The 26,653-nt window shown below is 40.1% G+C and overlaps 1 protein-coding gene across 14 annotated transcripts in view, besides 1 other annotated feature; it reads left to right on the forward strand.

Moving 5' to 3' along the window:
* SYT16 (synaptotagmin 16) overlaps positions 1 to 26,653 on the forward strand; it is a 300,664-nt gene that overhangs the window by 103,698 nt on the left and 170,313 nt on the right. The window contains exon 1 of one of the 14 annotated variants that reach the window (NM_001367663.1): positions 11,836 to 12,112. The exons of 12 other annotated variants lie outside the window; for them this stretch is intronic. The gene's annotated coding sequence lies outside the window, so the exon portion shown is untranslated. Of the gene's footprint in view, positions 1 to 11,835; positions 12,113 to 26,653 lie in introns of those variants that run through there. One more of the 14 variants, XM_024449729.2, reaches the window with a different exon arrangement.
* Positions 14,353 to 15,205: an enhancer, noted in NCBI's record as "OCT4-NANOG hESC enhancer chr14:62396930-62397782 (GRCh37/hg19 assembly coordinates)". NCBI's record gives its function as "activates a minimal SCP1, AML or CMV promoter by ChIP-STARR-seq in primed H9 embryonic stem cells {active_cell/tissue: H9 hESC(primed)}" and the evidence as "EXISTENCE:reporter gene assay evidence [ECO:0000049][PMID:30033119]".

Genomic DNA, 26,653 nt, shown 5'->3' on the forward strand with positions numbered 1-26,653 from the left:
TAATCCTTTCCCTGCTGACATCAGTGCATCAGTGATATAGTCTTTGCCAAAGATGATCTCACGGGTTTGAGGACAAAAGAAATAGTACAACGTGAATTCAACCTACATCTTGGAGCATTCTTGTGTTCCTTGATACAGTGTTTTCTGTCTGTCAAGGTGAAAGACATACTTTGATTCTTTGCTGTTGCATGTCTTTAAGCATATTTTTTTTTCCAGGACTAGTTGCTATCAAAATGCAAAGTTGCTTAAATACTAAAGATGACTTGCATTGTATTTGAAAACCATTTTAGAATTCCAAATCAATAACTTCAACCTTCTTATTGAAATTTAGCTTTGAGCAGATTTTCTTTTGTGGAGCAAAATTTGGATTTCAGTCTTTGTTCAGGAAATATCCATTACTTTTTTTCATAAAAAATGAGTGAGAAACATAACTTTTTATAAGGCTGCTTTTATATTCTGCCTAGGTGAAGAAAATAAATTTCCATTTCACAAATGCATTGTATGTGCAGTCTTTTGTGTTTTATGTGCTCCTATTACTCCACGGAGAGCTTATATTAGATTCTGGGAGGGCTTTTTTCCCTGCGATTTATTTTTTTTATTGACGAGTAATAGTTGCAAATATTTATGGGATATATGTGATATTTTGATACATACATACTATGTATAATGATGAAATCAGGGTGATTCAGATATCTATCACCTCAAACATTTATCATTTCTTTGTGTTAAGAACCTTCCAAATCTTCTCTTCTAGCTATTTTGAAATGTGCAATATATTATTGATAACTATAGTCACCCTGCTGTGCTATCGAACAGTGGAACCTATTCCTTTTATCTAACTGTATTGGACTCATTAACCAGCCTCTCCTTATCTCCTCTCCCCTGATCCTTCCCAGCCTCTGGTGACTACCATTCTACTCTCTACCTCCATGAGATCCACTTTTTTTCTTTTGGCTCCCACATATAAGTAAGAACATGAGATATTTGTCTTTCTTTGGCTGGCTTATTTCACTTAAGACAGTGACCTCCAGTTCCATCTAGTTGTTGACAATGACAGGATTTCATTCTTTTTTTAACCAAATAGTATTTTATTGTGTATATATGACACATTTTCTTTATCCAGTCATCTGTTGATAGACACTTAGGTTGATTTTATATTTTGGCTATTATTAATAGTGCTGCAATAAACATGAGAATGCAGATATCTCTTCAACATACTGATTTGCTTTCTTTTGGATATATACCCAGCAGTGGGATTGCTGGATCATATGGTAGGTCTGTAGTTTTTTGAAGAACCTCCATAATGAGATTCTCAGATGGGTTTGTGATCCCAACAAGTGAAGATCACTGTCTTGGAGAGTCCCATCCTTGCATGGATGTCTATTGCCTTGTTTACACAGCATCTATTTTCCTCCTGGTAATTGTACCCTGTCTCTTTGGCCATACTTAGTACACAGCATGGGAGTCCTGTGACTAATCAAATCAGTGGCCTATTCATCCTCTGGGCCACAGGGATTGACTGGTTCACGGACAAGTAAATAAGCCTAGTGGTCCAATAAGAGCCAGTTCTAAGATTTTTTGGGGGGAGCATATTGAGGAAGGAAGCTATCTTCTACTAGACTTGGAGCTATGATCATAGAAGCCTAGTTACCCCTTAAGGGGAAACGTTCCCAACCAAAACATAAAGCCAGTGCAATTGAAAGCAGAGTCAGGAGGTCAAGGAGGGCAGCTTCTTGATATTGTTTGAGTTTCTGGATTTGATTACATCTGATTTTAAGTTGTGTGAAACCACTTTTTTTTTGCTTAAAGGTACTTGAGTTGGACTTTTTTTTGTCACTTGCAAATGAGAGTCAGAACAAGGCTGTTCTAATTATAAATAAACACAGCACTATAAACTATAGGTTAAGTATCCCTTATCTGAAATGTTTGGGAGCAGAGTGTTTTGGCTTTTGGCTTCTGGAATATTTGCATATATATAATGAGACATTTTGGGGATGGGACACAAGTCTAAACATGAAGTTCATTTATGTTTCATATATACCTTATACACATAATCTGAAGGTAGTCTTAAACAATATTTTAAATGCTTTCGTGCATGAAATGAAGTTTGTGTATATAGAATGATAAGAAAGCAAGGGTGTGACTACCTCAGCCATCCATGTGGTGTCCTGTCGGTATTCAAAGAGTTTTGAATTTTGGAGCACTTCAGATTTTTGAATTAGAGATGCTTGACCTGCATAAGGAATCATAAGGTATGGAACTTTTAGTTTTAGTAACCAAAGCTTTGGCAGGAAGGCATTTTCAAATTGATGTATGTTGCTGGCCACTATTAACATTATCAATGAAGGTCAAGTTTGTTGTTCTGTTTTAAACAACTTTTGTCTCATTATCCAGTGTCCTGATTAGAAGGACCCAGAGATCTAAGTAATTAATCATATGGGCGGAAATATGGCATTCTGGAACCAAAGCATCCCCCCAGAGCATCCATGGGGCTAGGAGCCATAAACTGTAGCATGGCTGACCTAAAGCCAACAGGTGGTGATGGCTGCAAACACCTGGAAGAAAAGAGGGGAAATACAGAAGATGGGGGATAAAGGAACAATAAAGCCAAATGTCCAGTGATGAGGGGACTGAGGGAATAAATGATGGTATATTCTTATGTTGAAAATACCTAGTAGCCTGTAAGAATTATATTTTAAATGTTTATATTCATGGAAAGATTCATAATATATTGCCTGGCAAGAAAAGCATGATGTTTTATAAGAGTATGATTCCACTTTTAAAAATAAAATACATGAATATGTATAAATATTAATATAACATTCTCAAAGATAGCTCTGAAAATACAAAAAAAAAGTTATCTCTGGGGGGTGGGGTGATGAATCATGGTTGATTTACCTTCTTTTTCTTGTTTGTGTTCTGATTTTTCTACAATGAATATGAATTACTTGTGTGGAAAAACAGAAGCAGAAGGTACCTCCTGAGAGAGAAAATTATTAGTGTTGCAAGCATGTAGGCAAGGCATTTCTAGGTGCCAGGGAAATGTAGAGGAGAGAATCAGGAGCTAGAAAAACATTTTTATAACTTTTGGAAATAATATAAGACTAAACCCAACATATGGGGAGGATTCTTAGAAGAGACAGGTCCTGGGGTGCAGTCTTAAAAGTTCCTGACTCTTTTTTAACCTGCCTTTGGCAGTAGCTTCCAATTCAATTCATTAGGTAGTTGTTTCTCCAACAGGGATATATTTTAACTTTGCTGCAATACATGTGTTCCATTATTAGACCTGATAAAAATGTGATAGAAATACGTTGCTAGGCACAAGAGCAGGTAAACAGTAGCCACTGTTCCCTACCCTGTCCCATTTTCCTAAGACAGATCATCATCTGTCCTCTGCATGAACGCAACAGCCTCCTAGTTGGGTTTTCTGCTTCTAGTGTTTTACCTCTTAAGGACATTGTGCTAATTTCTTATTGCTGATGTAACAAATTACCACAAACTTAGTGGTGCAAAGGTACACAAATTTATTATCATGCAGTTTGTGGTTCAAAAGTTCGAGACTCATCTCACTGGGATAAATCAAGATGTCAGCAGAATGGCACTTATTTCTGGAGGCTCTAGGAGAGAATCAGTTTTCTTGCCATTTCTGGCTTCTAGAGGCTGCCCACCTTCCTTGGCTCATGGCCTCTTCCTCCATCTTCAAAGTCAGCAGTAGTGGGTTGAGTTCTCATGCTGCCATTTCTCTGGTCCTTCTTATCTGATTCCCTCTGCCAGTTTTAAGAACCCTTGTGATTCCATTGGACCCATCTGGATAATTCAGTATAATTTCCCTATTTTAAGGTCATCTGATTAGCAACCTTAATTCCATCTGCACTCTTCCCCTTTGCCATGTAACCTCTCATATCCATGGGTTCCAGGGATTAGGACATAGACATATGAAGAAAAAGGGCATTATTTTGCTTCCCATAGGCATCATCCAGATAGCTGCTAGAAAAAGCTATCTGATATGCACACTTGGCCAGAACTCTGTCGTGGTGAAAACCTCCTCAAACCTCTGAGATGATTTAGTCATCTCAAATCCTTGATACACATTTTATCACACTCTGTTTTTCTTATATCTCAGTTTTCATCTCCCCACTGCCTCTCAATTTATGCTCAGAAAGTATTGAACTGCTGGAGATTTCTGCATGCTCCAGGCCCCCCGACATACACACATTGCTGTTTCACACGCCTGTGCCTTTGCTGATGCTGGTCCTTTGGCCTCTTATTCATCTGGTTACCATGCACCTGTTTTTCCTCCTACCTTGTTGGTTGCTTCCTCCTACCCTTTTATTTTCCTTTGCTGTTTCCCTTCTTGACCTGAATTCTAAGTGTTTCCACTGTTAAGAACTTGGTTTTTTAAAATTTATTTTACTTTAAGTCTTGGGATACATGTGCAAAACATGCAGGTTTGTTAATAGGTATACATGTGCCATGGTGGCTTGCTGCACCTCACCTATCAAGCTGTCATCTAGGTTTTAAGACCCACATGCATTAGGTATTTGTCCTAATGCTCTCCCTCCCCTTGTCCCCCACCCTCCAACAGGCCCCGGTGTGTGATGAAGAACTTGGTTTTAACCTTTCTTTCTGTCCTCTCTCTCTTCTTAGATGATCTCATCCATTTCCATGACTACAACCACTCAATGATTCCCAAATTTATATCTCTAGGTCCAGGCCTGTCTCTAGAAACATTTACTGGGGTGTCCCGTCGGCACTGTAGACATTTGAGACAATGCCATTTCAACGCAGACTTCCTCCTGATTTCTCTCACTCCCAAATTGTTGAGTTCATTCATTTGTTGAATGAATATTTATTATTCTATTCAGCCATACAAATAGTTGACTTATTGATTATTTACTGGATGTGTCAGACTCTCGTTTAAGCTTTAATCTTTATAACACCGTCGTGAATTAGATACTATTCTTGTTTCCATTTTACAGGTGAGGAAATTGAGGCCCAGAAAGTTTAAGAAGTAGCATGCCTAAATTAAAGAGCAGTAAGTGGTAGAACCAGGATGTGACCCTTTACAGTCTGACTCCAGATGCTCATAACTACTAGGTTAAGCAACTAAAGAGCCTCAGCCTTCAGTAAACTCTCCTCAGACCTCCAGGCTGTTGGAGGAAACCCTTCCCTGTGTCCCCCAGTCCTCTGTGCTCACTTCCAGCTTGGTAGTTTACATGTACTGATTAAACTTAGATTTGTCTCTTGCCTCCCTTTGGAGAATATGCACTGACTTCTTCATCTTTGTTCCCTCAGCATCTAGCACAGAACCTGGCACAGTAAGCCTTGAAAAACAGAGCTTGACTGAATAAATGCTCCTGTTTTGCTTAATTATTGTCATAAAACTCATGTTCCTGCAGCAGTGGGTTCTTTTAGAACCTTCCCCTCCTGCCCGGGGTGTCACTTTGCCTCTTGAATCAGGTCTAACTCCATTGTTCCTTATTGCAAAGGCCATGAGCCACTTCCTCAACCTGACAGCACCTGAAATTATCCTGCCAGGAGCCTTCTGTTACTAATCATAAGCAAGGGGACCACTTTCCCAGTCTCAGTCTCTGTAGCAGGAAACTTCAGTGTTTCTGTTACATTCATAACCTTAGCTCTGGAGGCAGTGTTGATGTTTAATTTCATGTCTGCCCTATCTATGTATTCATTCTCAGTTCTTTCCTTAGAGGTCTATATTCCATATTGACTGGTGTCACCTGGGGTTGTGAGCTTCTGCTCTGAGCCCTGGTAGCTTTGTTGACTTAGAGTAAAGGGCTCAGGAGCCACAGAAGAACCATTTTGTTTGGCCTCTTCTGTTTCAACATTGTCTAACTCAAGCCAGCTACACTGCTAGTTGTCATTAGTCACATGGAGAACCCAGCAAGAGAGAGTGGACAGGTAGCAGGCTGTCACCTATGGGGCAAACACCTCAAAGCACATGCCCTATTGGAAGTGGGATGAAAGAGCCAGTAATAGTGCAGTGATTAAGAGACAGGACTTGGCAGCAGACAGACCTGGTTTCAAGTCTTAGCTTCAATAAAATACTAGCTGTTTTACCCCAAGCAAGTACTTCTATGAGCTTTTTCCCTGGCTTTAAAGTGGGCCCAGGGTTCTTATGTCTAAAATGAGAGTATCTGGCACATATTTAATTGTCAATGCTACAGTCTCAAAAGAAAGAGCACACTTAGGGCTCAACTTAGTGCCTTGTGTAAAGAGAAAAGAAATGCTTTATAAGCAGCGTGGTGATTCCTCAAAGAGCTAGACACAGAGCTACCATTCCACCTAGCAATCCTATTACTGGGTATATACCCAAAGAAATAGAAATCATTCTACCATAAAGTCACATGCATGTGTCTGTTCATTGCAGCACTATTCGCAATAGTAAAGACATGGAATCAACCTAAATGCCCATCAATGGCAGATTGGATAAAGAAAATGTGGTCCATATACATCATGGAATACTACGCAGCCATAAAAAGAATGAGATCATGTCCTTTTCAGGAACATGGATGGAGCTGGAGTCCATTATCCTTAGCAAATTAACTCAGGAACAGAAAACCAAATACTGCATCTTCTCACTTATAAGTGGGAGCTAAATAATGAGAACTCATGGACACAAACAGGGAAACAACAGGTACTGGAGCCCACTTGAGGGTAGAGAGTAGGAGGAGGGAAAAGATCAGGAAAAATAACTATTGGGTACTAGGCTTAGTACTTGAGTGATGAAATAATCTATACAACAAACCCCTGTGACTTGCATTTACTTACCTTGAATTTACAAACTTGTACATGTGCCCCTGAACCTAAAATTAAAGTAAAAAAAAATGGTTTATAAATTTGCATGGGTAGCAATGAAACTAGTGTTACAAAGAAGTGGACTATTTGTAGGCCAGGCGTGGTAGCTCACGCCTGTAATCCCACCACTTTGGGAGGCCAAGGCAGGCCGATCACAAGGTCAGGAGTTCGAGACAAGCCTGGCCAACATGGTGAAACCCTGTCTCCACTACAAATACAAAAAATTATCTGGGTGTAGTGGCAGGTGCCTGTAATCCCAGCTGCTCAGGAGGCTGAGGCAGGACAATCGCTTGAACCCGGGAGGCAGAGGTTGCAGTGAGACGAGATCACGCCATTGCACTCCAGCCTGGTCAACAGGGCAAGACTCTGTCTCAAAAAAAAAAAAAAAAAAATGAAGTGGACCTATTTGTATACTATTCTTTCTGCTCATTATGGCAGGCTGGAAGAGAATGGCTCTTATAAATATTATGTAGAAAATTATTAGGGCAACAAAAGAATATTCCAATTATTTGGGCTACAAATTATGGAACTATGGCACCAAACTCATTCATAAGAAGTAGATCAATACAACTTAACAACTCTCTCTCTCTACCTTTTTTAGCAGAATTATTCATCACTTTCTTATTATGTAAAATGGCAATGATGAAGACTACTTAATATAAATAGTGTATAGATTAAATAAATTCACTGTATCAGTTAGGACTAAATTCAGCCATGTGGCTTGACTTGCATTGTTCTTGGTGATAAATTGTATTGATTTCTACTGCTTGGTTTATTACAGAATCAAGCAACCATTCCAGGAACCCCAAACCTCTCTTCCCCAAATCTCTTATTTCCTGACCTCACCACTAGATGACAATCCCTTCCTGTGTTTTGGCCAGTGAGCGAGCGGAAACATTTCAAGCTGTTTGTTTTACAGTTGTTTCCAAATAGGCGCCCTAGTAATATCTGGAGAGAAACTTTATTTATAGCCTCTAAACATCCTACTGAAGTTATTGGGACGTAGTACAGTGAAATGTCTGTGCCAGACAAATGGAAATGAATTTTGAGTTTAGGGGTTTGACTGTTACAACTTAATTATCTAGTATTTGGTTTTTTAAAAAAAAGTTCTTGAAAATCATGCTGTCATGTCTTTATAAAGATTCAAAACCAACATATTATTAGCAGGAATTTGACCTCCCTTCAAAACCATGTTGACAAAAATGATTATAAGACTACATTCTTCATTAAGATCACAATTAATGTATTTTGTGACTGCTGTCAGTCTTTTTTGTTTGCAGAAATGAATAGTTTCCCTTAAAAGGTAAATCTCAGGCGAAGTTAATACAAAGTGCTATACATGAAAGATTACTATCTATGCTGAATCAGGATGAAAGGAAAGGGATATGGAGACACTGAAATTATTTTGACATTAAAGTTGAAGTGGTGAGTCTTGCATAGTAGACAGTCCCTTTAAATGACTGTTTTTGATGAACTTGGTTACTCCCAGCACTGTGCTAGGGGGCATGGAGAGATACAAAAGGTGGGGTTAAATTGGGTGAAGTTTATTTATTGAGATTATTAAACCAAATCACCCCAGAGCCCCTAATGGTTGGCAGGTCTCTGAGATTATTTGAGGGTATATGAGACCTTGGAGCCAAGATAATCCCTGGGTGTCAGCACATTAGGATATGTAAGGTTTAGAGTTGTCTTTCAGATGAAATTGTTAAGCAAGGCTTGGAAACTTCATTGCAGTTTAACCAGAGAGTAGAAGTGTTTGTAGCAGCAGCAGCAATTTAGGATGTAAACAACTAGTGTGTTATGAATTCAGAACGAGGGTGTATTTCCTTTTCATTATTAAATCAATTACCTGAATGAAATCTTGGTTCGAGTACCTACCCCTCAAAATTCTGTATAAAAACCTTTGATGACAATCTAGTTAGTGCTATCGGCTACATATTGCACCAACTTGTGCTTCTTTTTTTCTCATACTACCATGTTTTTCTTTCCCTGTATGAAACCCTCTTGCTTATGAGAGACCTAGCAGAAATATTCCTCAGTTTCTTATTATGTAAAATGGCAATGATGAACAGTACCTAATACAAATAGTGTATGGATTAAATAAATTTGCTGTATCAGTTAGGATTAAATTCAGCCACAAGTGACAGACAACCCCAAATTATGGTGCCTTTAACCATTAGTTTATTTCTCTATCATGTAAGCAAAGTTCACAGGCACTTTAGTTTTGGGTGATTGTGTTAGCTTCTTGATCCTTAGGGACCCAGGCTGCTTCTGTCTCATTGCTTCACCATCTTTAACACATCTCAAAGTTGCCTATAAAACGTACACTTGCATCTCATTTGCCAATCCTTAGTTATATGGTTTCATCCAGTTGTTAGAGGTGCTGGGAAGCGCCCTCTTGATTTGGCACAGCCATTGGCATAGCTAAATGCTGGTTGTTCTATTCCTAAGGAAGAAGGACAGAATAAACACTGGGGGGCAGTCTCTGGCACGGTAACCTAGCATAGATTCTGACGGTAAGATGCTCTTCGATTGCTTTTTCAATTCTCTTCCTTCCCTCTTTCCCTCCTTTCAGCTATTTACACCTGGGATGGGTCTTTATGCTGAGGTTGGAAAGTGTTAAGCCTGAAAAGAGAGCTTTTTGGCAGTAAGAAAGGAATTCCTGTGGCCAGTTTTAGTTAATTTGTGACTGTAGAGGAAAATCTTGGCATAGATTAGTATCAAATCATGTGTTGTGCAAAGAGTGTCCAACGTGGACACAAAATGGTGTATTAGCATTTGCTTTTAAGTAGCTAATTATATTCTTAGCATTAAAATGTAGAAAACAAATACTTTTCAAGATTACTTCAGAAACTAGCATTGCTTAGTCTCATTGTAATTAATGTACAAAAAAGGGGGTTTCTTCTCTAAGATTTTTAGAAATGCATACACAGTTTTCCTTGTACAGAGAACATGTGTTCTCTTATGAAAATTTCCTGGTTAGGCTTTATTTTGACCATCTTTCACGTTTTGGCCTTATTTTCTTCTAACATCTTATGATGCAATGATTATGTTCCTCTCCCTTTTCACCTAAATTGAATAAATCAGAATCTCTTACCTTGAAGGTGAGAGAGAATTCCTGGAAGAATTATCTGAAAGCTGTGTGTGGGGCCTACACACAACTGGTGGTATTTTTCCCTCAAGGAAAAGGTGGAGATTTCACAAGAATGTAAAAGCCAAAGGAAAACTTGGAAAATCTAAGACCAGGGTCATGGTTCAGATTGTGTAAGACCACTGTGTAAACTCTGTGAAGGCAGAGACTTCTTCTGCCTTAAACCTGGCTGTATGTCTGGATTATGCTTGGTACATGACATGCTGTCAATAACAATATATGGTCTAAATGAATAAATGGTCACCAGGAATGGTGAGTGCTATGACTTAGCAGCATATGTGTGGGAGATATCGGGGTTTCATAGACTGAGAACTCAATAGAAGTCAAGTTGTGACTTCCAAAAAAATCTAGACATTAGATGCTAGAAGGAATTTGCTTTCTTAGGGCTAAAAATAAGGTTTACTCAGCCCAAATTAATGCAAAGAGTCAAAGAGTATGTGTTCTGTCTGGTTGAAACTCATGGGAAACACAGTGTTTAGTTTTTATTGCCACCCCTATGAAGGACATAGACAGACATATGAATATAGTTTAGTCTGGATTCTTGCATCTTCTCTGCAACACCCTTAGCTAGTGAGAGTTCAGTCTCTGTATGGGGAATGAGTGATGGGGGAACTCACTTCAAGGCATGCTCCTTCATTTTCTAGAACATTCTGCTTCTGTGCTTTGGGAAGAAACTCATATGACCAGGAGAATAAGAGTGTAAAAATCATGTTTAATTAAGGTCAGTTGGAAGGACAGCACCTTGGACTCTTTAAAGAGCTATAATGTGAAAGAGATACTGCTTTTCTGTATTGGTCTCGTGGGAGAATTGGACTGAGGCAGTGGCCAGATATTACCTCTGAAGTGGAAATTCTTAACTTGGACTTTGAGGAACTCAAAGGGCTTTTTAGGTGAATTTTAAGGGGACATGAATACATTCTATGAATATATTTACACAATTTCGTTTGTGTGGCCCCTCCCCCTCACCCCCCACCCTGCCAGTAGAGGGTTCAGGGCTTTCAGTTTCAGAGGGTGTCCTTAGCTCCAGAGATAAAAACTACTATTGTGGGGTCTTCTGTAACTCTGAGTTTCTATGCTTTTTAAAAACATGTACAAAAATAAAATACTAGTTTTCTTTTTTACTTAGGTGAAATAGACTAATTAGTAATCCTGTAACAAAGACTCAGCTGTAATTATAGGACTCCTCCTGTATGAAACAGGAAAATTAAAAATCTGTTACAACTCAGCAACAGTGGTCCTTCATCCCACATAACTTCACTTTTTTAGTGTTCACAGAGTAACAGCCCAGCTATTGCCTCTGGCTTCACAGTTTTACCTATGCAAAAGCAGTGATTTTTAGCTTCTGTGACCCTCTTGGTTTTAAATTCCAGGAAGCATGACTTCATCTCAGCCTGAGGCTCTATAAAGCTATTCAGTGAAAAAATGAGTGATGAATACTTGGGAAGTAATCTATTTTTATTCCAGGTTACGATATTCACAGGAGACTAGGCATTTTGTCTTCATCAGCATCCCAGCTGTGATCCTGCACTGGCTATTTATTGTAGGAGCTTTAGGCACAAATAAGAGAAAGCACTTTTTTTATTAACCAAAATATTTATGGCCAGAGTCTGAGTTTAGTCAGGGCAGCAAATTACATCTGTTCCCTAAAGGGAATAATTACTTACAGTTTGACAGCAAATGAATAATAATTTGCAGCAAATTTATCAGGATGATAATTTTTTTTCCATAAAGACAGAACTAATAATGCCATTGAACAGGTGGTTATGTGTTTTTTAAAAAATGATTAAATTATTAAGGCAGAAGGTTGTAATAGCTATCATGGTGAGTCAGACCAGTTTCTCTACCTCCTCGTTAGCAAACATTCCTTTGGTGAGTCTCACACTCAAGTAAGCAGCTGGCTTTCCTTTACCCCTGCTAGGTGGGAACTGCAGTTTTGCACAGTTGGGGTACGTATTATTAACTCCAAGGAGAGCAAGAAGTCATTATGACTTAGAGTTAGAAAAAAGTTAATAACCTAGTGTCAGAAGGGGAGGTGGAGGTGCTTTTCCAGGAAGTACTAGGTAGCCTCAATTGAATCAACTTTCTCAAGGAAATATCATGCCTGGTTTAACTTGCTTTGCAGTCGTGAAAGTTCCAGAGAGCTGGGTAAGTTGGTTGTTCTGAACAGTCCTCAGGCTAACTTTGATATTCTGAGGGAAGGGGCTAGTTTACTTTGAAAATAGTACAAGAACTGTAATAGGTGTAAGTTTGATATTTAACCTATTTGTTTTCTCTTAAATTGAGACTTCTGTTGTTGCATGTTCAAACCCCTTATGGATCTGTATCATACGAGTTCACCTGAGTGTTATAGAAAATGGAGGGGTTGAAAGGCGGAGCTAGACAGAGGCTAGAGGTGGGAAGGTGGGGAAGGGATGTTGACTGGAGCTGCAGTGGAATTGATTTGCTTTGTCCTCCTAAGAGATAGGAATGGACATCAGGGGCACTTACTTAAAGAAAGTAGGTGCTAGAAATCTGTTTGCTGAGGAACAATTGGCAGGAAAAAAGGACATAACTGAAATTTTGCTCTCTTGTTCTTGTTTTCAGCTTTTAACATAGTCTTGACCTTGGCATATATGTCTTTGAGCTAAGTGAGCTTATGTAAAGCTTCCTTTTTGTGTGTCTGAATACCTAGTCCAGAGAGGGTGTGTAGAAGGATTAGTGATCTCTAGTCATCAGAAATCCCATGGCAACATGATCAGGCATTTACCTGATAATTTTATACCTAGGTGAGAAGCCCAGTCTTCTGGGATTGGCAGAAACAGACAGTGGCAATTACATTTTGTTCTCATTTACAGAGCTTGCTTCTTTGCTATTAGAGGGGCTTAAGTCTGTAGATATCGGCTACTCTTCTGTTCATAAGCACACCGGAGGTGTCTGGTTATTTTTTAAATAACCTGGGTTAAGAACTGAGCATTACTTCCTTTTGAGGCTAGGGCATAACACACAGCTTGTTCTCAGGAACACGATAATGAGGATAAGTACATAAATATGGATAAAAGCACGTCCCAAAGCACCATCTCCTGCAGGAAGAAAGGTGATTTAGTAGGCACAAGCCTGACACTTCTTGTGTGCATAGTCATTAGTGACAACCTGTGTGCAGGGGAAAATTCACTTTGTACCATGGAGCAAGAACATTGCTAAATATCTATGAAAAATCCTCATGCTAAACACATTTCTGGTGGTTCACCTCTTCAGCACTGGCTTAGTTCAGTTTTTCTCTCCATTTTGAGGCCCAAAGGAAGAGTGATCCGGGGATTACTAGTAAAGACAGTTCAGGCTGTTTTGATGTAGTCAGTTCATCTAGCTATGCTCAGTGCATCTCTGTAACAGCTGGTGGAGCAGCTTCTGTGAAATTTGTTGGTCAAGGCTGCTCACTAACCCCTCAGGTTTGGCCGACTAGAAAAACCCTGTTGGAGTCGCTGGAGGTTTGAGTTGTTTAAATTTTATGAAATACAATTCTAGGTGTTTATAAAGTTTCACACAGAGAGATGGACAGGAACAGAGAAAAGTGTTTATGTTGTTTGTAGGGGAGGATGCGTACAAGTCAGGTGAAGAGGAGAGATTCACAAAAAGATGTGCAAGGGATATTAACCTGGCGGTCGTGCCTAGCAACACCCCGCTGCCTCTTTCTGGATTTTAAATGTTTCAGGGAAGAATACTTGTTTAAGCAGTAGTTGGGCAAAACCAAAATTGATAAAACTTTTTTCTTTTGCCTTTGATCCGTGAATTTACAGTGAAGGCATGTCTGAAATATCTTAGATGTTTGTTTCTACTGCATTGCTGGAGCATTGATGTCTCTGGAGAATGTGTTGTGGGAAGCTGAGTTTGGGTAATCAAATTGGTTTTCTTATTTTTCTCTACGCATGTTTCTAAAAGGGTAATATCATAGCAAAGGAGTTTCAAAATTTGTTATCAGGGTGATTGAAAACTTTTGATGGCTTAAATATGGTTTTAAATGTTGCTCAATTGCCTTTTTTTAAAACTGAAAGAGTGGGCAAGACCGCTGAAATAGAGTGTAGCCTTTGCATAATCACATAGTTCACTAGGTCAATTTGTATATAAGGCAGTTACATGGTGTGCTTAGGTCACAGAAGTACTTTAAAACTATGGAAACATAAGGCACTTTTCCCTATGGCTTTAATTGAGCAAGGAAGGGGCCAGCTTGCTTAATCCACCTTGAGAATAATCCTTCCTGACCCATGTGGTGCTCACATCTTATCTAGGGCTTCTAAACCTGTGGATGCTGAGTACAAGATGCTTATATTCATAAAGGCAGGCTTTTCTGTTCTTTCCATGTGATTCATACTAGAGCAGATGGCTTGATCTGCTCCTATCTCTCACTTCATCCATGAGTTTTATGCCGCTGTCTCCTATTTCTTTTTCTCCAGCCAGTCCTCCCTCCAGACCACCTGTTCACAGAGCCGTGTGTACCCAGACATCCCATGAGCACCTCTGGTTCTGCATGTGTATCACATTATCTCCCTCTCTCACCTGGTCCTTTGCATGTGTTCCCGGTCTCTGTGAGGGGTCACAGCTGTCACCTGGCAGCTAGGCTGCAAGTCACTTTCCATATCTGACCACCACCAAATCCTAGAAGTTTCAACCTTAACATCTGTTGGAACTGCCTTCTCCACCCCTTCCCTTTGGCCATTGCCATCCTTCTGGCTCTCATCTGGATCACTGTAATAATTTTTAAATGGTTCTAGTAGGCCGAATAGTGCCCCACATCCCCTCAAGATGTTCACATCCTAATCCCCAGGACCCATGAATATGTTAGGTTACATGACAATGGGTAATTAAACTTGCTAATCAACTGGCCTTTAAATAGGGAAAGCATGCTGGGTTGTCCAGGTGGGACCAATATAATTACGAGTCTATGCAAGTGGAAGAGGGAAGCAGACGAAGAGGTCAGAGTAATGTGATATAAGAAGAACTCCACTAGCTGTTGCTGCTGGGTTTGAACATAGAGAAAGGGACCATGAGCCAAGGAATTTGAGCCACTTGTAGAGGCAGGAAAAGATAAGAAAATGGATTCTCTTTTAGTGCTTCTGGAATGGAATGCCGCCCTCCTCACACCTTGCTCTTAGCCTGGTGAGACCCATTTTGGACTTCTGACCTACAGAACTGTAAGATAATAAATGTGTACTCTTTTAAGCTACTAAGTTTGTGATAATTTGCTACAGCAGCAATAGAAAACATACTTGTCTTCCTACCTCTGGAGTGCCCCATTCCAATGCACATGCAGATCTCATATTACTTTCTTGTCTTTAAGGCTTTCAGTGGCTCCCCTACCTCCACACTGTCTATGCAGCACCTCAACTTTGTAAATAGGAGGAAATTAGTAAATAATGAATAAATGAAAACAGCCCATTTTGCAGCACATTAGTCCAAGTCAGGATTCTTTCTTAGAGGAGATAGATTAAAAGTCAATTGGTTATATTTTGCATATACTTTTCTAGGGACAGGATGGAGCCAACATATATTCTTTCTCTTATTTTCTTTTTTTTAAAAATATTCGCTTGTTTTTTAAATTATGTGATAGCATTTTATTGTAGCCAAATTGATAAATGAAAAAAAGTCCACAACGAAGACACTCAGAGATGATTATTTTTATTATTTTGATGTATAGCTTTCTAGTTATTCATATGCCTACATCTGTATTTTATGTTTTAAAATCCATTCTTCATTTTGTATAGTAGTACAAAAGTTTTTCTACAGCCCTTTTAATGGCTGCATGAAATGCCTTTGTGTGACTGTACTAAAACTTAGTGCCTGTCTCATATTGAACTTTTAGGTTGTTTCCATTTTTTCCCTATTGTGAACAGCCCTGCAATTAATATCTTTGCTGTATCCGTGTGTACATCTAGGATCATTTCCTTAGAATAAATTTTTTTTTAAATTATACTTTAAGTTTTAGGGTACATGTGCACAATGTACATGTTTGTTACATATGTATACATGTGCCACGTTGGTGTGCTGCACCCATTAGAATAAATTCTTTAAGTGTCATAACTGGGTCAAAGGCTCTGGAATGTTAATGGTATTTGATATGTATTAGAAAACTGCCCTGAAGGAGAATTGTACCAGTTTGCAGTACCACCAACAGTGTCCTTTTCTTAAGTTGACCTTCCTGCTCTTGGATCTTTTGAATTAATGGGAAGACTAGAGAGCTTGACATCAAAGGTGACCAGAGGACAATTTTACTTTGGAACTGGACACTGCTTTAACCAGTTGAACACACACTGGGCACTGTGGCCACCAGCCAGCACACCCAGCTCCTTCATAACCGAGATACCCTCTTACCATCCCTCCAGAGGACTGGTACCATTGCTCCTCAGAAAAGTCTCAGGGTTGGCCTCGCCTTTCTGACTACACCAAATGCTGGAAACCAAGGGTGGACCCATGGCCCCCTTCAGTGTTTACAGGCTTCTGATTTCTGATAGGAGTCTGTGTTAGTCTGTTTTCACACTGCTATAAAGAACTGCCTGAGACTGAGTAGTTTATAAAGAAAAGAGGTTTAATTTCCCACAGTTCCACATGGCTGGGGAGGCCTCAGGAAACTTACAATCGTGGTGGAAGGGGAAGCAGGCACATCTTACATGGCAGCAGGTGAGAGAGAGCGTGTGAAGGAGGAACTATTAAACCTTATAAAACCATCAGATCTCGTGAGAATTCACTCACTATCATGAGAACAACATGGGGGAAACCACCTCCATGATCAAATCACTTCCTACCGGTTCCTTCCGTCAACACATGGGGGATTATGGAGATTACAATTAGAGATGAGATTTGGGTGGGGACACAGAGCCAAACCATATCAGAGTCTGAAAGGAGACTTGACATGGGGCACACAGATAGATCTTCTCTCTCCCTTACACCCCTTCCCCATCTTTGCTTCAGAACTTATCTGCTCATGAGATTAAGCTACTCATGCCTCATGTATGTAGGTGCTGCATTTTATATGGCAGGGAGTGAGTCCCATAAATGCCTGTTGAATGGACCAGCCTGACATCTCTGCTCACTCAAAATTAAGAGTAAAAATCAACTGCCCAGTCCAGTATAGTTGTGACATGGTCATAGTTAGCTTTGGCTGTTTTTGTAAACACTGATCAGCTATATACAAAAGCATTAATAAGATATCAGGTGTATTGTTAGCTACATTCTCTTTTTTGGTGGAATATCTTTGACAGGTGAGTTTGGGAAAGCCAGTCTAGTTGCCATGGAAACGCAAAAGCTTTCAGGCACTTGTTTGTTTGTTATATTCTTTTGTCGGTTTATGGAGTGTTCCGTGGAGCCCCTTGAAAGAAGATGTGCCACTTAGTGCTGACAGTTAAATCACCATGCTGCCTGTCAGAGATGAGAGCCGGGAGGAGGGGAAGAGACAGACACAAAGCTCCTTTCCCATTGTCTGTTTTCACAAAGATTCTGGCTATAGAAAGAAGGTATCTGAATCTGAAGCAAGAGGTCTCACTTAGTGTCCCTAAAATTACAAAATAAAATCAGTGAAAGTTGGAATAATCAAACCTGACTCTTTCACCCTGTTTTCCCAGCCTCTACCCTATACTCATCCCTGAATGTAGGACTGTATAGTACAGTTATGTGATTTTTCTCTCAAAAGTCCAAGGGTGAAGAGCTGTTCTAATCAATCCATGGACTCTGAAACAAAAGAGATGCCAGGAGAAACAAAACAAAACTGTCCTTTTCAGAGTTGAGCTGTTCTGGTCACCATTTACCTCCTCTTGCCCTAGTCTCTGGGAGAGTGTGCACTCACAATGTGACCCCTTCCCAGCTAAAGGGCTAGTTGTGTGCAGAGGCCAGCACTGTTCCTGTTAGTATGATGGCTCAGGGTAGATAGTGAGGGTTAGGTTATCAGACACAGTGGAGTACTGCCTAGCTGGCAAAGCGTTTGGACATTTACAAAATAAGCTATTTTCTATTTAAGAAAAAAACAGTCTATACTAGAAGAATAGAAAATAAGGAGGATATTTAAAAATACTTATATTCTATTTCCCTAGTCTCCAAATTAGCATTTTAATACAAATTGTGTGTATGTGTATATATACATATATATACACACGTACACATGCATATTTGTGTGTATATATGAGAGTGTGTGTATATATGTATGTATACAAGTACATAGTCATATATATATATGCACACATACATTCATGTATTACTATTGTTTTTGTGGAAATAAAGATTTTGCTGCATATACTTTTTCTGTATAAACTTTTCATTCAACCAGCTTATGAGATATTTCTATGCTTATAACATTCATGATTGTATAAACTTATTTTGTTTGCTTTTTAAATCACATAGATATACTATCATTTGATTCAACCTTTCTTTCATTTTGACATTTAGTTGATTTCTATTTTTCTATTTCTTCAAATCATTCTCTGCTTACATTTTTTTGTACCTATATGTAAATGGCTTAAAAAGTACATGGCAAGTCAACAAGTCCCCATTAAATGTTAATCATCTCAAGTTTCTTTTTTTGTTGTTAAAGTGGTGATTCAGCCTGAGAAAACCTCTGTATGACAAAAAATGTAGAATGCTTTATGAATGTGTAAATCCTAAACTGACATGTAATACCGGAATTGAGGCACTGTTATGCAAAGGAAACTCTGGGAAGAAATGATGTGGTTTGGGACTACACTTGTGGGTAGCACGTGCTTAGATGTATTATTATAGCCAGTGCTATAAGGAGATGACTAAGTTATTTCACCACATTGAGATTTTATTGTGGTGACCCAAAAGCGTTGGATGCAGCATAGTGGGCAGAGATTGGTCTGGACTGAGGCAAGCTCCATTCTAGTTCTGCCTCTCACTAGCTTGTGGAACCTGGGACAAATCCTGTTTCCTTACCTGCAAAGTGATAGAATTGTTCTAGTTGACCTCTGAGGTTCCTTTCAGATCTAAAATCCCATTATTTGAAGATGACTCTTCTCTGTTTAATTCATTTGTAACCCATAGTGAAAACAAAGTGGACTTGCAATACACTTCCCAGAGTTTAAAACTTTGTGGCTTGGGTACATTATGGCAATTTTATTATCGTGAACTCAGTACAGTTTTGCGAAAGAGTATTTTCATTCCTTCTTCCTTTTTATTTTCAAAATTTATTTATTGCATAAATTTAAGGTGTGCAACATGATATTTTGATATGTATGGGAAAATGATTACCACAGGCAAGCAAATTAATATATCCATCACCTTCTACAGTTATTTCTTTTTGCCCATTCCTTTTTCCCCTCTAATTTTACTTGGGGGCGGCACTACTTTCCATTGCAGGCAGTTTGGGTGGGGCTGTCAATCAGATGGCCTTGCTCCTCCAGCCAAGAGGTCAGCATGACCTTTCAATAGGGGAACTCAAGGCCCTGCGGTGATTGAAGCTGATTCACGCCGACAGTGGCTCCCATTAATTTCTCCTACGCAGATGCCCACACTGTCCTCATTCTGGCCCTTTTCATGTCTTATTTGTTCCCTTTTCTTTCTATCTGGTGGTCTTTGCATATTTTTTCATTATAGTTTGGTTGCATTTTTTAGCCAGAGTCATTCTGCTGCCTGCAGAAGAAAAGTCCTAAGCCTTGGTCGCTGGTACTGGCCTAGCCTGGCTCTTCACCTAACTGGGGCTTTGTAACCAATGGGCACCTTGGTCATTCTCTAAGCCTGTGTGTCCTGATCTATACCAGTGAGGGTAAGAAAACCGATCTAGTTGTTGGGGTGGTGAAACGGACCAAGCACAGAGTCGACACGTGGCAGTTTCCCTTCAACCTAGAGTTTCTCTGGGAAAGTGTTTGGCCTGTGAATTTAGGACCTTCACCTGGATGTGTCCCATGTGGGCTCTAAGTCGGTAGAGTTAGAAGGATGTTTCTGGTAGTAATTATGGTTAGTTTGTTCTTGATCTTGCTTTGCATCGTGGTAAGCACATAGTAGGTTCTTTTGAATGTATTTTAGAAATCATTAAATAAGAACATATGAAAACATTTTGTTATGTGTTTTAATAGTACATTTTTTCATAATCATCAATGTTTTAATACATTGAGTAAAGGGCGCAAGTATTCTGACCCTTCAGCCAGGGTTTGTAAATGTTTTAGCTCTGAGAAACTTGTGTCTAACTATATTGCTTTAATGGAATTTCAGTTGTATAGCACTGCTTTAATTATTGGAATCTTCTTTAGAAAAAAAACCTCTGAGATTTGAGATAAGTTTACATATTATTATATGAATCACAATTTGCTTTAAGAGCTTATCTAAATCCCATCTGTTTGATTGGAAAAAGGAACTCGGAATGAATCCATCTGATTTTCAGTTTTCTTCCTTGGAGAGAATCGTGATTGAGAGTCAGAGTGGGGTTATGCGCTGCCTCTTTTTGATGGTTTCTAGAGGAAGTTTTAGGGTTTCCATAGCAATGCATGAGGAGTCATCATTTTCTGCCATGATTTCCCAGCAAAGAAAAAAGTACTGATAACTATGGTTTAGTAGAAATGAAAAAGTTGATACTAGATCATTTTAAATTTGTTCCGGCTGCTGGGGGATAGATAGGGCAGAGCATCATTCTATCAGCTGGAAGTGACTGACTCCCAGTGCCACAAGGCGGCTAATGAGTTCACTAATCATCAGTGGTAACGTCACAGAAATACATTTCTTATTTTGATTAGGAATAACACAGGGAAGAGGTCCTGCCATAATTGTCCCGAGATTCCATAGAGAATTTGCATTTTAGAATGTAATGATGTTGCTGCACCTCCTCTATCACTTTTTCTCTCTTCATTTTCCACATCCCCCGGACTTTCTCTCTGCTCCCTGTGCCACCTGTCTGTCCCCTCCTCCGTTCTATGTCTGCCTCTATAGCCATGTTCCTTTACATGATTGCCTTAGCTCTTTGACGCTCCCAGAGAGAGGGTCACAAGCCCAGGTACCATCCTCGGCAACTTTTCATCACCCTCAGGCTGCTGGGCCTGACATGTTCCCTTCCTTGAACAATTCAACCTGTTTTCAGGTTTTCTAAAAATGGCAGCATTTATACCTGATGTCACAAGGGGTACCCGTGCATCCTTGTTTTGTGAAATCTGAACAAATTGTTCTCATTGGTGAATTTACAAGGACTAAAAATCCTCATCAGCTGTCCAGCATAACCATGAACTTGTCTTACAGACAGCAAAAGCCAGCAAAAAAGACTGTGCCAGGAACGGTGCTATCACTTGCTTCAGTGGAAGCTGGGCTGGCTGGAGCAGGGATTTCCCCGTGGATGGTGATGTCTCTGTGATTCTATTTCTAAGAGCTTCAAAGTTTACATTTGCTTTAAACTGATTTTGCTTTGAAGCAGTAGTTCATCATGATTTTTAAAGTTGGTTATCATTTGTAATTGCTGGAGCAAGGCCAGTGTTAATGGCAACCATGCCTTGCAGTTTGAAATGTTTTCTCTCCTTGTTTAACAGAGTTAATTGGTTTAGTGAGTTCTTGAAAAGAAAAGGCGATCCTTTGCCCTGGGGGAAGACTAACTTCCTTACTTTGCCAATTATGAGGGGAAGTCCTTTGAAAGTAAGGTACATAGGAGCTGTAAGACTTACTTAGCTTTTAGATTTTATTTATCAGTTTCCAACTCCGACCTGTGCTCAATCTCCACTGCTCCTCTGCCTTTTTGGTTAAAATTACTGAAGCGTTTGCTGACAAAGTCTCTAATTATCTCAGGACCAGTCAGGGTAATTTCTTGATGTACAGCCACTGTGGATGGGCAGGAAGCCCCACTTGCCTTTCCATGGAGATCTGGAGAGTGTTGGGACAATTTTCAATAAGAGATTATTGTTGTTTCAGTGGCAGAAATGGAAGTCAGCTTTAGGCACCAGGCTTCCCAGATATGATGTGGCATTTGGCTTTGTTGGGTTAGAGAACTAGAGGAAAGAGGAAGGATGGAAACTTGTCCCTAACTTGGCAGTGGGAAACCCCAGGGACTCCCATGTTTATGGTCAGGCTTATAATTGATCCATGTGTCTATGTGTCAATCACACATATTGACAGAATACCCGCTTGTACAAGTATAAGGGTCAAAATGGCATATGAGTGTCCTGCCTTTGAGGAGTTTACAGTCCATTGAGGAATACCCATTTTAACTTTCATCTGAGGCCTCTTCTGTTGCCCCAACCTCCTACCCCGCAACACACACACACACACACACACACACACACACAGAGTGTTTCAGACAGGAAACTTGGAGGGATGAGACCACATATCTAGACTATAAGTTTAATTTTTCAATTAATTACCGAAGGATAAAGAACTTTTTAAGAAATGAGATACGCAAACAGGGTGGGGATTGCTACAGGCTCTGCTTTCACACGTTTTCCTCCTTATCTGCTTCCCTGGTGTTTATTGAATGATACTGTACCCAAAACCCTGTGATAGACACTGTATGAGCTGGGTGGGGAGGATACAAGGAATATTAGACGTGGGCCTTCAAGGGCTTCACAAAGTAGAAAACAGCTGCCCAGCTTGCCAGATACGAGATGTTTGCCAGGTAAGTAGTGTGGGAGTGCCATACAGTTCACCTTCAGGGTTGGCTGGGTGGGAGGGGACTTGACTAGGAAGGCATTCTTGGGGAGGGGATTGGATTAAAGGTCCAGAGGCCTAGAAATGAATAAATAATGCTCTCTCCAGGGCAATGCGCTGAGGTTGTTAACTCTGTGGAACTACAAGGCTTCCTTTGGGGGCACAGTGGGATAAACCTGGAGTTGACCTTAAGAGACAAGCAAAAGGATTTAAGGGGTATCCTTAAGAGACAAGCAAAGGAATTTGGGCTTTATATTGTAGCTAATGAGAAACCATTAACACCAGCTAAGGGGGACTGACATGGTTAAAAAACAGGTGAAGATGAATTTTGTTTGATGCTAAGAAGGATGAATTTAGGGGACAGAGGGAGTGTGGAAACAGACTCTAAAGGGATTTTGTGGTAATTCCTAAAGGATATAAAAAGGACAGACATGAGGCTGGGTGCGGTGGCTCACGCCTGTAATTCCAGCACTTTGGGAGGCCAAGGCGGGCGGATCACTTAAGGTCAGGAGCCCGAGACCAGCCTGGCCAGCATGGTGAAACCTCGTCTCTACTAAAAATACAAAAATTAGCTGGGCATGGTGGCGGGTGCCTATAATCCCAGCTACTTGGGAGGCTGAGGCAGGAGAATTGCTTGAACCCAGTAGGCAGAGGTTGTAGTGAGCTGAGATCGTGCCACTGCACTCCAGCCTGGGCAACAGAGTGAGACTTGGTCTCAAATAAAAACAAAAACAAAAAAACCAAAAAAGGACATGAACCAGGGCATTATGTGTCTGGGAACTTTGCTATAGAAGTCTGGAGGACCTTTAATTATTCTCTCCTCCTGTTCCTGATGGATGCATAATCCCCCCAAAGCACTAACTGGCAGTCTGTTTTAGGGCCAGGAAGCACATGGTTGTTCAGTGAGACAGCTAGCAAATAATCCTCCTGTGCACACCTACAGTTTACGAAAGACACTGTATTAGTCCACTAGTGCTGCTTTCACAAATGCCACCAACTGCAAAGCTTCAACAGCAGAGATCTATTTTCTCACAGTCCTGGAGGACAGAAGTCTGAGATCAAGGTGTCCGCATGATTGGATCCATTCTGAGGCTTCTTTGCTTGGGCTCTACATGGCCATCTCCTTCTGTCTTCATACGATCTTTCCTTCACGTGTGTACATGCCTGTGGCCAGATTTCCTCTTTTTATGAGGATGCCAGTCGTGTTGGATCTGGGCCCACTTTTAAGCCCTCATTTTATCTTCTCTCTAAAGACCTTATCTCCAAATACAGTGACCTTCTGAGGTACTAGGGGTTAGGATTTCAATCTGTGAATTTTATGGGAGACACAGTTCAGTCCATCACAGTGTCTAAGGGGGAAGAAAAAGGACGAATGGAAGGACAGAGGCCAAGCACCTCCCCTGACCTCTCATCCCAGGCCCTCACTGTACACCTGAGTCCTATCTATGGTGATAAAATGGGTCACCTCCACAGAGAAAGTTCCCTGAGCCAGCTTCCTGTCATTCTTTTCTAGGAGAATTTAGGCTGATGTCATCTGGGGGCTTTTCAACTCCCAATCTTAGAATTAGCAGCCTTTCTCCTTTTTTTTCAAAAAAACTCTGGCAATGCTCGTTTCTTACCATATTTATTGCAGTCAACTGTTTATGTGCATGATAATTTTTATAATGATGTGAGGAAATCTCTGAAGATGAACAGAATATACAGAATAAACAGATGCATTAAGTTGCAACTACATAGTTTTCATTATTGTCCTTTTCACGGGGTTAGCACATATTTTTGAATTCTTTAACCTCAGCTTTTGAGGTGACATTCCTTTTATTTCTATTTTTTTTTTTCTGTTTCCATCTACTGGCTTAGGCTGATGCTTAAAGGTCCTCATGTTATTGCTTCCAAATTCTTGTTCCTCTCTCTTGATTTGAGACTAAATGGCTCTCCTCACGGCCACTGAATCCCTATTGACAGTGTCTGTTGCATTCTAGCTTCAAATAAACAACAACAAAAAAATCCCCTAAAAACCTATGATAAGGCAGAATAGCAGAGTGATTAAAATAGGGTCTTGAGCCAGACTGCCAGGGTAAAATTCTGGCTCTGACACAGCATTCTGCAACTTTGGATAAGTCATTCTCTAAGCCTCAGTATATTTCTCATCTGTTAAGTGATAATAATAATAATTTCAATGTCTTAGGACCCCTGTCAGATTTAAATGAGCATAAAGTGCCTGGCACATAGTAAATGCCATGTAAGTATAAAGTATAATAATTATTATTCTGCTTGTCTTTGTTCTGAGTAGCTTCCCTGGAGATTCAGATCTTGCTTGGCCCCTTCTCCATTTCCCTCCCTCTCAGGTTTTCCTTTTGTCACCCACATAGTGGTGGGGCAGGCTTCCCTGGAATGCTCTTCAGACCGGCTGTTCCTAGATCAGACTGAGAACCGGAATGGTTGACAAGGTCTGTATGTTTTGCTTGCCTGGGGGCAGATCTGCTTGAATAATCACAGATAGGCTTTGCCTTCCCTTCCAGACTCCACTGAAATGAAAGGCTTCCTGGGCCTTAGGGGAGACTGTGACATTTGCCCCTTTCCCGTGCAGAAGGACCACTTATTTGGAAGCAAGAGTTACAATCTAAGGGAAAGTTTGGACGGGCATGTTACAATGGGGAGGGGTAGTGCTCCTTTTGTTATGTTAGCTTGGGATCTATAGACAAACACATGCCTATCAGTGTTGAAGGTGAGGTTCTCTGGCTCAGTAGGGTTAATTGCACAAACGCCAGCCTCTTTCCCTGTGCCAGTGGCCTGCCTTGGGTCAGCCGCTGCCAGGACTTTACCAGTCACTAGCTATCCCTTAGTGATGCCTCGTTAAATGCTTCATCATCCAAGGACTCCAAGGGCTCAGATTCACAGCTCTACCATTCAGGCTTCAGCTCATATATAAACCAGTAATAATTCAGATCTACAACAGTATCCTCACTCTTTGGGCTATTCTTTGCCTTGGGGAAGGGTGACAGTTTCAGTTGTTTTTTTCTAAATCTTCATTCGTAGCCCTCTCATTCTTCCCTGAAATCTGGGACTCTTCTTGCAATCCGTAGTGACTTTTGTGAGACATTCTTGCTACTTTTCCCTCTTTCCAGCACAATCCTGTCCTCCATGAGATAAAGCCTTCTGCTCAATACCTCTCATTCTATCTTCCCTTGCCCCAGCCTGCGGCATCAAAGTCCACTCATTTTTTCCCCTTATCTAGTCAAGTGGAATCTCTCTTTTCTTCTTAGCTCTGCAGCTCCCTTTAGTACTTCCTCCACAGTCCCCATCCCTTTCCCAAATGGACAAACCCCATCGCTATGACCATAGGTGCAAAGGTGCCCCTTCCCACTACAAGTTCTCAATGAAGTGGGGGGCAGGGTCTCAATTTTCAGTTTGTGAACAATTGAAAGGATTTGTCTTAAATACAAGTCAATAAGCTTTTTGGAAAGTATCTGGAGCCAGATGAAATCCATCCAAAGGTAGAAGACATTTTTTGCCTTTGCCTGGCAAGGCTTCTTTGGCCATATATAAAAAAATATTACTCATCAGTCAAACAAATGTATTTATGAATATGAAAGATGTTCAGAAATTGGCAGAATATACTGCTTTTCTGCAACTCAACAATGAATATTATATAATTTACAAGTTTCAGATGTTGGTCTTATTTTTATTTTAGATAAGGCATTGCTTACAGATGTAGATAATGGGATGTTTTTACATCAAGTTGTTGGAGTGATTCTTGCTAAGTCGCTTGGCCTCCTTTAAAATCATTTCTTATTTTATAATAGTTGATCCTTATAGTCCCTTTTTCAAGTCTTGTTTTGTGTGGAATAAATTTCCCACACATAGAACCTTCCTTGAGAATACTTATTAAGCTTCTTGAAGTTAGAAATCAAGTTCCAGTCATGAATGGATGCTCAGCAAGCAGTTAAATTATTGATGGAGTGGTGTCAGGCTAGTTTACCATGTTGGAGAAGAGGCTCTATTCAATCTTCACTCTCTTTAGTAAAAATACCAGTTCTGTTATCAAAGTGACACTCCACTAGGTTTAAATAATGAAAGTTTAGCTTGGAGAGATGT

This window comes from Homo sapiens, chromosome 14 (genome assembly GCF_000001405.40).
Source record: "Homo sapiens chromosome 14, GRCh38.p14 Primary Assembly".
Classification (NCBI taxonomy): domain Eukaryota; kingdom Metazoa; phylum Chordata; class Mammalia; order Primates; family Hominidae; genus Homo; species Homo sapiens.